Here is an 11,460-nt window from a genome sequence, read left to right as displayed (position 1 = left end):
CACTGCTTGTGTGCCAGGCATGGTTTCATGCTCTTGAGATATGGTGGTGAACAAGACACCACTGTGAGGCTTAATGGGATAGACAGACAACTTAAATATGAGTTCAGATAATGAGAAATACAAGGAGAAGAACTGGGCAAGGTGAGGGGACAGTGACAGCAGGAGGGTGAGTAGGGTGGACCAGGGAGGTGTGAAGTGGGGTTGGGGCTCTGGGAGGGAAGGCTTATAGAGGGGATCTGACACAGCCTACCCAGCTAGCACCTGAGGAGGGATGTGGGCAGGGACTCCTCATGGCCAAGGGGCTCTAAGAAGCTCAGCAACTTGTCTCCCCCACCATGTTATCTACCTGATGTTAAGTAAAAGGTTGGTGCACCGTTAATGGTGAATGTATGAAGAAAAGAGGGAAAGAACAACAAACAGGAGGCAAGAAGTAAGCACGATGGAGAATTAATAGGAATAAGAATGAGGAACAAGAAGGGACAGGCAGACTTAAGGCACCCTGGGCATCTTGAGAAATCTCAGGGAAGAGGGAAACCCCTAAAAGGATAGAGACAGCATTTAACCTCCAAGCAAGAAGAAAACAAAACAATGGTAAAGGAGAGAAAAACAGACCTAGGGGAACAAACAGCACAAAAATTTTTAGACCCACATTGGTATCAGAATTACATTATTTTTTGTTTTTTTGAGACGGAGTTTTGCTCTTGTTGCCCAGGCTGGAGTGCAGTGGTGTGATCTCGGCTCACTGCAACCTCCGCCTCCCAGGTCCAAGCAATTCTCCTGCCTCAGCCTCCTGAGTAACTGGAGTAACTGGGATTAAAGGCATGCACCACAATGCCTGGCTAATTTTTGTATTTTTAGTAGAGACGGGGTTTCACCACATTGGCCAGGCTGGTCTCGAACTCCTGACCTCAGGTGATCTGCCTGCCTGGGCCTCCCAAAGTGCTGGGATTACAGGCGTGAGCCACTGCACCCTGCCTAGAATTACATTGTTCTGGTGTAAAGGTAAAGACTCTCAGCTGAATTTTTTAAAAAACAATTCTAAGCCATTTACACAAAATCCTTGGTAAGCTGCTGGGCTTTGCAGACTGTGTGGAATAGAGGCTTAGGCCATTAGATGTGAGTATCAAAGGAAAGGGTGACCCTAGAATGTGGAGGCCCTGTGGACACGTAGCTTTGTGACCACCACAGAATCTGGTCACACCCACTGAGTGTTAAGAGAACCTGGCCTTGAACCAAGGACTTGACTGGGCCAGCCCGAGCTCCTGAACGCATTTTAGTTCTGCTCCCTGGAGACCTGTGAGCATGTCCATGGACAGGTAGGGACCACAGGTATTAGAAAGGAGTATCTGTCACATGGCAGGAGGGGAACAACAGAGCAAGCAGGCTGTTGCATCTTCCAAAGCACTGCTCCCTTGGCAGCCTAAGCTTTGGGAGGCTAAGGCAGGAGGATCACTTGAGGCCAGGGGTTTGAGACCAGCCTGGGCCACATAGGAAGACTCCATCTCTACAAAAAATGAAGAACAGCTGCACATGGTGGTGCCCGCTTGTAGTCCTAGCTACTCAGGAGGCTAAGGCAAGAGGATCGCTTGAGCCCAGGTGTTCAAGGTCACAGTGAGCTATGATCACGCCACTGCATTCAAGCCTGGGTAACAGAGTGAGGCCCTAACGCTAAAAAAAAAAAAAAAAAAAAAAAGGAAGAACCACCTGAGCTTTGGCTATTCGGCTCCATCATCTGCTCTCTGCCAACCTTGGGGAAATCCCTAAATCTCTGAGCCTGTTTCCTGATCAGGTCTTTTGTGGAGACCAAAAGAAACCATCATCATGAGCTAATCCCCTGCACAACCTATAAGGTTGGTTTCATTATTCTATTATCATCCCCCTCTTGCAGGAAACAGGCTCAGAGGGATGGAGGAACTCCCCTGGGTCACATAGTAAGTGGAAGAGTCAGGATTCAAACTGAGGTCTGCCTTGTCCTCAGACTTTACTCCTAAGCTCCCAGTGATAGTTTCTGGTTTTTTGTTTTTTGGTGTTTTTTTTTTAGACAGAGTCTCACTCTGTCACCTAGGCTGCAGTGGTGCTATCTCGGCTCACCTCCACCTCCCGGGTTCAAGCGATTCTCCTGCCTCAGCCTCTCAAGTAGCTGGGATTACAGGCACACGCCACCACACCTGGCTAATTATTTTTTTGTATTTTTTGTAGAGACAAGGTTTCACCATATTGGTAAGGCTGGTCTCAAACTCCTGGCCTCAAGTGATCTGCCCGCCTTGGCCTCCCAAAGTGCTGGGATTACAGGCGTGAGCCATGGTGCCCAGCTCACAAGTGCCTCTTGAAGGAGGAAATTCCACAGCCATGCCCTCTCTTACCTTGAGTGACAATGATCAGCACTCACTCTAAAGGTACCTAAAACTTACCCAGAAGTATCACTAGCGTCTCACAAATCCCTCCTGTCCATTGGAGGAGGAAGGCTGGCGGGATTCCCTCCAGTTTACATAATTGTGCCTGGCTGCTTAGCACCTGGCAGCAGTGTCTCCAGAATTCTACTCCTTACAAACTCTACCTCTCAGTCTCTCTCCCAAGGCTGCGTACCCTACTCTGCACCTCTCCAAGAGTGGAGGACGACTGGTAGATGGTGTGAAATGATTTTCACTGGGGGAAGGTAGGAGAAGGGCAGAATGATTAATGTCTGGATTTGCATCTCTTGCTAAACTGCTGTGAAAGGAAATACCAAATATTTATCTAAGAGACTAATCCATCCTAACAAAACAAGTTTCCTTTAAGGACAGGGCAGTGCAGAGGTAGGAGCCTCTGAAATAAAACTTCTTTGTATCACTGTGAATGGGCATACCAAAAAAATAACTTATTTTTCCTTCAGGGAAGTCTTCTGCCCTCCAAAATCTGGCACCCTACCCCATGGCCAGTCCATACCAGGCAGAGGTCAGAGCCTGTGGCAGCAATGAAGAGGGACTTCGAGATTATTAACATCTCCCTCCCTCCTTCCAAGTCAAAATCTGTGCCCTGAAGCTGCTGAATGTTTTGGAGTCCATGTTAAGCAGCACAAACTCCATGAGCTGTGGGGCTTGTGTTTCATTTTTCAAAGCTTTTCTTTGGATGATGATAAACTATTGTTTATTTGTGAAGTTTCCTCTGCCTCTAAAATACTTATCTCTTGTCTATCTAAGGAACTCTTTTTCAGAAGCTCAGTTCAGATTGCCCCTTGCCTACAAAGCTTTTCCTGCCCCCTCCGCAAGACAGCTTATGTGTATTACATCACTACCATGTGCTAAGCACCATGACAGGGGTCTTACATACATCAACAACCCTATGCTGTAGGTATTATTTTGTTCTCATGGAGTCCCAGAGAAGCAACTGCCAATGTCACATAGCTGTGAAGTGGCAGAGCCAGGACTTGAATTCAGAACTGTCTGACCAGGGAGCCCAGGACTCCATCATGATGGATGTGATACTTTGTGCCACCTCCCTGTTTTGCACATATTTCCACTTTTGCATCATCTTTTTAGGGATCTATCTCCCCACATGAGACCAGATTTCTTTGCCAATGGGGATCAGGCAAAGATAATTCATCTCTGTATTCCCATTGCCTAGAATAATAGTTCCTGGCACTTGGCAGCCACTAATTCATTCAACAGATATTCTGAGTGTGCTAAGAGAGACTTAATTCCTGTCCTCAAGGAGCTTTAGCATAAAGTAGCACAGGACATGGGACATACACATAAATAAGTGTCTATAACACAAGAGAGAATGAGGCATGGGAAGTGATGGAAAATACATGCTCTGGTGCTGTGGAGAAAGATGGGATGCCGTCCTGGTCTAAGATGCTGGCCAGGTGGCATTAGAGTAGGACCCTGGAGCACACTAGGACTGGGACATGTAGGGAGGGGGGCAGGGTGCTCACAGGCGGACATGGGCAAACTTGCCCTTCAAGTCCAAGTAACAGCTGACATTTGAAGTGACAAACCTCTTCATGTCACCAAGGGAGACAAAGGGCCCTTTCAGACTGTAGAAGCTGCTGGAAAATGCTGGCCAGCCATCGGACTGTGAAGAGCCCCGGGGGCAGGATAGACCATGTTCTAACATGGAGGCCAGTTTGGTGGGAAGCATACTGAGGCTGGACACCAGGATGAACACAGGATAAAATGATGTTACCTTCCCTCACTCGAGGCTGCCTTTCCCAATAACACAGCCCCATACCTCACAACCCTCTTGCATGCCCAGGGCCAGAGCTCAGGAGGAAAGGCCAAGCCAGAGCATTGGGTGGGAATGCAGGAGAGGTGGACATCCTCATTACATGGGGCCTCTTCCCAGGGCTCACCCCACTACAGGTCCTGAGAATATTTTAAAATGCTTTCAACTGTGTAAACAAACGAGGCACCTGAGAACCCCAAGTAGGCCATGCCTATGGAAGCCATATTCCCTGCCCGTTTCACATTTCCTCAGACTGTTGTTTAATGTCAGCCTGAGCATCTGCCCTCCACACCTCCTGCTGTATGGGATCATCCTTCTCATTAATACTGAAGTTAGAATGGCTTTGGCCCCATTCCATAAAGGGTGGGAGGCATCTCCTCCAACATCTCCAAACATGGTGAAACCCTGTCTCTACTAAAAATACAAAATTAGCCAGGTGTGGTAGCACACACCTGTAATCCCAGCTACTTGGGAGGCTGAGGCAGGGAAATCACTTGAACCTGGGAGGCAGAGGTTACAGTGAGCCGGGATTGTGCCATTGCACTCCATCCTGGGCGAAAGAGTGAGACTCCGTCTCAAAAAAAAAAAAGGTCCCTTCTCAAGCAAGGTGCAGTAGCACATGACTGTAGTCCCAGCTACTCAGGAGGCTAAGGCAGGAGGATGGCTTAAGCCCAGTCCAGCCTGGGCAACATACCAAGTCCCTGTTTCTAAAAAAAAAAAAAAATGTTTAAATGGTCCCTCTCTCCACTGGCATCAGCCCAGACATGGAACCTAGGGCTTTTCCTTCATTTTTTTTCAAAATCAGTAGGTGCTCTGATGTTCACCCTGATTTGGGGACAACAGAGACTAAGTCATAGCCAGCACATAAAACGCACTGACAGTCCAGTCCCTTCATACCTGCCACAGGAAACATCTCCCTGGTGAGGCTGTTCCTCAGTACCCTCAGCTGCCCTCAGGTGGCTGCTCATTCTCAATCTCCCCAGCCACCTGTCCTACTTCCTTGGCCCCCTCAATTCCTTCATCCTGGGCTTATCCCCATCCCCTCCCCAGAGACACACAATTCTCACTGTATTTTGCAGGTTACTTAGATTTTTTCTTTTTCCTTTTTTTTTTTTGAGACAGGGTCTCTGTTACCCAGGCTGGAGTTGCGTGGTGTGATCTCGTCACTGCAGCCTCAACGTCCTGGGCTCAAGTGATCCTCCTACCCCAGCCCCCCAAATAGCTGGGACGACCACAGGTGTGCACCGTCACACCTGGCTAATTTCTAATTTCTTTCATTTTTGGTAGAGACAGGCTTTCGCCATGTTGCCTAGGCTGGTCTTGAACTCCTGAGCTCAAGTGATCTGCTCACCTTGGCCTCCTAAAGTGCTGGGATTACAGGTGTGGGCCACTGTGCCCAGTCGAGATCTTTCTTTTTCTAATTATGAACTATGTTGAGTGGGGATAAGGAGGAACAGGGATTCACCTTTCATGTCCAAACAGATTATCAAGGTACTTCCTGAAAAAAGACAATTTCCTAAGAGGAATACTGCAGCCAGCTTTTTAGATAGCAATCTTTATCTTCTCATTATAATATTAACAACTACCATTTATTGAGCACACTTCTAATCCTCATGACCATGAACGGTAGAGTCATCTCCACTTCATAGGTAAGAAATGAGGCTCAGCCTGGGCAACATAGTGAGACCTCATCTCTACAAAAAATATACAAAAAATTAGCCAGGTGTGGTGGCATGCATCTGTAGTTCCAGCTACTTGGAAGGCTGAGGTGGGAGGATTGCTTAAGCCCAGGAGGTTAAAGCTGCAGTGAGCTGTGATCATGCCACTACACTACAGCCTGGGTGACAGAGTGAGATCTTGCCTCAATAAATAAATAAAAAGTGGTTATGAGAAAACAGCAGGTTTTAAAGGAACAAAATTGCCTAGGTGGTAAGACCTGAACAATGTTTAAAAAGATGCATGAAAGGCCAGGTGCGGTGGTTCACACCTGTAATCCCAGCACTTTGGGAGGCCAAGGTGGGCGGATCACTTGAGTCCAGGAGTTTGAGACCAGCCTGGGCAACATGGCAAAACCCCATCTCTACAAAAATACAAAAATTAGCCTGGCATGGTGGTGTGCACCTGTAGTCCCAGCTACTCAGGAGCCTGGGAGGTGGAGGTTGCAGTGAGCCGAGATTGTGCCACTGCATTCCACCCTGGGTAACAGAGGGAGACCCCGTCTCAATCAATCAATCAATCAAATAAAAAGACGCATAGAAAAAAGACTGGAAGGGAATGCAGTTGCAACAGATTTATTGGGGTGTCTCATCCTACATAAATGTAAGCATTTTTAGTGATTTTCACTAGCCATCCTCAGTAACACCATGTCAAGTTCCTCTTTTCCAGTGGGTAGCTTCATGATGGCTGCCATAGACTCAGCTGCTTTCAGGAATTAGAACAGTCTCCAACTTGTATTTAAGATTCATTTAAAATGTTTACACATAAAAATATTCATTTAAAAATGTCCATCTCGGCTGGGTACAGTGGCTCACGCCTGTAATCCCAGCACTTTAGGAGGCTGAGGCGGGTGGATCACTTGAGGTCAGGAGTCGAGACCAGCCTGGCCAACATGGTGAAATCCCGTCTCTACTAAAAATACAAAAAAAAACACAACAACTAGCTGGGCATGATAGCGTGCACCTGTAATCCCAGCTACTCAGTAGGCTGAGGCAGGAGAATCGCTTGAACCCAGGAGGTGGAGGTTGTAGTTAGCCAAGATCACACAACTGGACTCAGCCTGGGCAGCAGAGCAAGACTCCGTCTCAAAAAAAAAATCCATCTCAAGGTTCCCTTCAAAGCTCACTGCCTCACTGCAGCCTTAACCTCCCAGGGTCAACTGATCCTCCCGTCTCCACCTCCTAAACAGCTGGAACCACAGGTACACAACCATACCTGGCTAATTTTTGTTTTTGTTTTTGTTTTTTTTTTTGAGACAGAGTCTCGCTCTGTTGCCCAGGCTGGAGTGCAGTGGCGCGATCTCGGCTCACTGAAAGCTCTGCCTCCTGGGTTCACACCATTCTCCTGCCTCAGCCTCCTGAGTAGCTGGGACTACAGGTGCCCGCCACCATGCCCAGCTAATTTTTTTAAAATTTTAATTTTTAGTAGAGACGGGGTTTCACCGTGTTAGCCAGGATTGTCTCGATCTCCTGACCTCGTGATCCGCCCGCCTTGGCCTCCCAAAGTGCTGGGATTACAGGCGTGAGCCACTGCGCCCGGCCTTTTTTTTTTTTTTTTTTTGGTAGAGATGAGGTCTCATTATGTTGTCCAGGCTGGTCTCAAACTCCTGGGGGCTCGCATGCAATCCTCCCACCTCAGCTTCCCAAAGTATTGGGATTATAGGCGTGGGCCACCACATGCGGCCTGATAGCTCATTTCCTTTTGGCAGTGAATAATATTTCATTGTTTGGATGTACCACAGTATATTCATTTATTTACCTACTGAAGGACATCTTGATTGCTTCCAAGTTTTGGCAATTATGAATAAAGCTGCTGTAAACCTGTGTGTGGAGGTTGTTGTGTGGACTTAAGTTTTCAACTCGTTTGTGAAAATATCAAGGACTGTGATTGCTGAATCACATGGTAAGAGTATGTTTAGTTTTGTAAGAAAATGCCAAACTGTTCTCCAAAATGGCTCTACCATCAATTTTGCATTCCTACCAGCAATGAATGAAAGTTCCTGTTGCTCCACATCCTTGTCAGCATTTGTTGTCTGGATTTTGGCCATTCTGATAAATGCGTAGTAGTATCTAATCGTTGTTTAAATTTGCATTTCTCTGATAACATATGATGTGCAGCATCTTTTCATATGCTTATATGCCATCTGTATATCTTCTTTGGTGAGGTGTTGTTAAGGTCTTTGGTCCATTTTTAAAATGCATTGTTTTATTTTGTTTGTTTATTTATTTAGAGATGGAGTCTCACTCTGTTGCCAGGCTGGAGTGCGGTGGCGTGATCTCGGCTCACTGCAACCTCTGCCTCCTGGGTTCAAGTGATTCTCCTGCCTCAGCCTCCTGAGTAGCTGGGAATACAGGCGTGCGCCACCACGCCCAGCTAGTTTTTGTATTTTTAGTAGAGATGGGGTTTCACCATGTTGGCCAGGATGGTCTCTATGTCTTGACCTCGTGATCCGCCCACCTCGGCCTCCCAAAGTGCTGGGATTACAGGCGTGAGCCACTATGCCTGGCCTATTGTTGAGTTTTAAGAGTGCTTATGCATATTTTGGATAACAGTCCTTTATCAGATGTGTCTTTTGCAAATATTTTCTCCAGTACATGCTTATGCTCATCTTCTCATTCTTTTTTTTTGTTTTTTGAGACGGAGTCTTGCTCTGTCACCTAGGCTGGAGTGCAGTGGCGTGATCTTGGCTCACTACCAGCTCCGCCTCCTGGGTTCACGCCATTCTCCTGCCTCAGCCTCCCAAGTAGCTGGGACTACAGGCGCCTGCCACCACGGCCGGCTAATTTTTGTATTTTTTTTTTTTTAGTAGAGACGGGGTTTCACCATGTTAGCCAGGATGGTCTCGATTTCCTGACCTCGTGATCCGCCCACCTCGGCCTCCCAAAGTGCTGGGATTACAGGCATGAGCCACTGTGCCCAGCCATCATCTTCTCATTCTTGTGACATGGTCTTTCACAGAAGAGAAATTTTTAATTTTAATGAAGTCTAGATTGTCAGTTATTTATTTCATGGATCATGCCTTTGAGTGTTGTACCGAAAAAATAATAACCATATCCAAGGTTTTCTTCTGTTATCCTCTCAGAGTGTAAGGTGTGTGTCTAGATTAATTTTTTGCATGTGGATGTCCAGTTGTTCCAGCACCATTTGTTGAAAAAATTATCTTTGCTCCATTGTACTGCCTTTGCTTCCTTCCACTATATTTATTCCTTCCACTATATTTATGTGGGTCTATTTCTGGCCTCTCCATTCTGTTCAATTGATCTATTTGTCTATCCTTTCACAAATATCACACTGCCTTCATTACTGTAGCTTTATAAGTCTCAAAGTCAGGTAGTGTCAGTCTTCTAACTTCATTCTTCTCCTTCAATTTTGCCTCTCTGTATAAACTTTTAGAATCAATTTGTTGATATCCACAAAATAACTTCTGGGATTTTGATTGGGATTGCTTTGATCTATAGATCAAGTTGGGAAGAACGGACATCTTGACAATATTGAGTCTTCCTATGCATGTACCATGGAATATATCTCCATTTAATTCTTTTTTGATTTTGTTCATCAGAGTTTTGTAGTTTTTTTCATACAGATCTTGTACATATTTTGTTAGGTTTATACAAATTTTGTGGGGTGGTAATATAAATGTGTTTTTTATTTCAAATTCCACTAATTCATTGCTGGTATATAGGTAGACAATTGAGTTTTGTATATTGACCTTATAACCTGAAACATTGATGTAATCACTTATTAGTTCCAGGAGTTTTTCTGTCAATTCTTTCAGATCTTTCCTTTCCCTTCCTTCCCCTTCCCCTCCCCACTTCCCTTTCCTTTTTCCTTTCCTGTCCTGTCCTCCTTTCTTTTTTCTTTTTTAACATCTCCCAAGGCTTCATCATTCATCTTTCAGATTTTCTACAGAGATGGTCATGTCATCTGTGAACAAAGACAGCTTGATTTCCTCCTCCCCAATCTGTATACCTTCTATTTCCTTTTCTTGTCTTATTACATTAGCTAGGACTTCCAGTACAATGTTGAAAAGAAGTGATGAGAGGGCACACCGTTGCCTTGTTCCTGATCTTAGTGAGAAAGCTTCTGGTTTCTCACTATTAAGTATGTTAGCTGTAGGTTTTGTAGGTATTCTTTATCAAGCTGACGAAGTTTACTGAGAGTTTTATCATGAGTGGGCATTGGACTTTTTTTTTTGGAGACAGGGTCTTGCCCTGTTGCCCAGGCTGGAGTGTACTGGTGTGATCATGGCTCACTGCCATCACCATCTCCTGGGCTCAAGTGATCTTCCCACCTCAGCCTCCCAAGTAGCTGGGACTATAGGCATGTGCCACCATACTTGACTAATTAAAAAAAAAACTTTTGTAGAGATGAGGTCTCACTATGTTTCCTAGGCTGGTCTTGAACTCCTGGGCTCAAGCAATCCTCCTGCCTTGGCCTTCCATAATGCTGGGATTACAGGCATGAGCTGCTGTGCCTACCCCAAACATTTCTTTACCATGACCATTTCACAGCTATACTTACCTAAGTCTAATGGTAATATTCATGCCCTGGGGTTCTTCTGGATTCATTTCCCTTCCTTGTGTATTGGGGAAAGTCACGTGCTTACCCCTTTGTTCTGAAGTAAAACAAATGCCCATTTTCTACGTTCAACTTTAAGTGGAATTATGCTGGTGCTTGGGGCTTGGGATTGGAGAGAAGAGGAGGGGATCTGCCCTTGGTGTCTTGACATCATTAACCCTTTTCCTGATGCCCTCAGCTGGCTGGAGTCTGGAGAGATTCATTTGGCCACAGTCCACTTTCTGGGAAGTTTTGTGGAAAGGACAAGTAAATATAAACAACTGAGAAATGTGATCTAGAGGGTAGGTAGGTGTGAGGAATTCTTTTTTCTTTTTTTTTTTTCCAACTTTTAAGTTCAGGGGTACATATGCAGGATTACATAGAAAAACGTGTGCCATGGTGGTTTGCTGCACAGATTATCCCATCACGTAGGTATTAAGCCCAGCATCCATTAGCTGTTCTTCCTGATGCTCTCCTTCCTCCCCCGCCACACCGTCCAACAGGCCCCAGTGTGTGTTGTTCCCCTCTGTGTGTCCATGTGTTCTCATCATTCAGTTGCCACTTATAAGTGAGAACATGTAGTGTTTGTTTTTCTGTTCTTGCATTAATTTGCTGAGGATAATGGCTTCCAGCTCCATCAATGTCCCTGCAAAGGACATGATCTCATTCCTTTTTATGACTGCATAGTATTCCATGATGTATATGTACCACATTTTCTTTATCAAGTCTATCACTGATGGGAATTTAGGTTGGTTCCATGTCTTTGCTACTGTGAATAGTGCTGCAATGAAATGAAAGATACATGTATGCATGTATCTTTATAATAGAATGATTTCTATTCTTTTGGATATATACTCAGTAATGGCATTGCTGGGTCAAATGGTATTTCTGCTTCTAGGTCTTTGAGGAATCGCCACACTGTCTTCCACAATGGTTGAACTAATTTACACTCCCACCAACAGTGTAAAAGTGTTCTTTTTTCTC

Source organism: Homo sapiens, chromosome 22 (genome assembly GCF_000001405.40).
Source record: "Homo sapiens chromosome 22, GRCh38.p14 Primary Assembly".
Taxonomy (NCBI): domain Eukaryota; kingdom Metazoa; phylum Chordata; class Mammalia; order Primates; family Hominidae; genus Homo; species Homo sapiens.
This window is presented reverse-complemented; position numbering follows the sequence as displayed.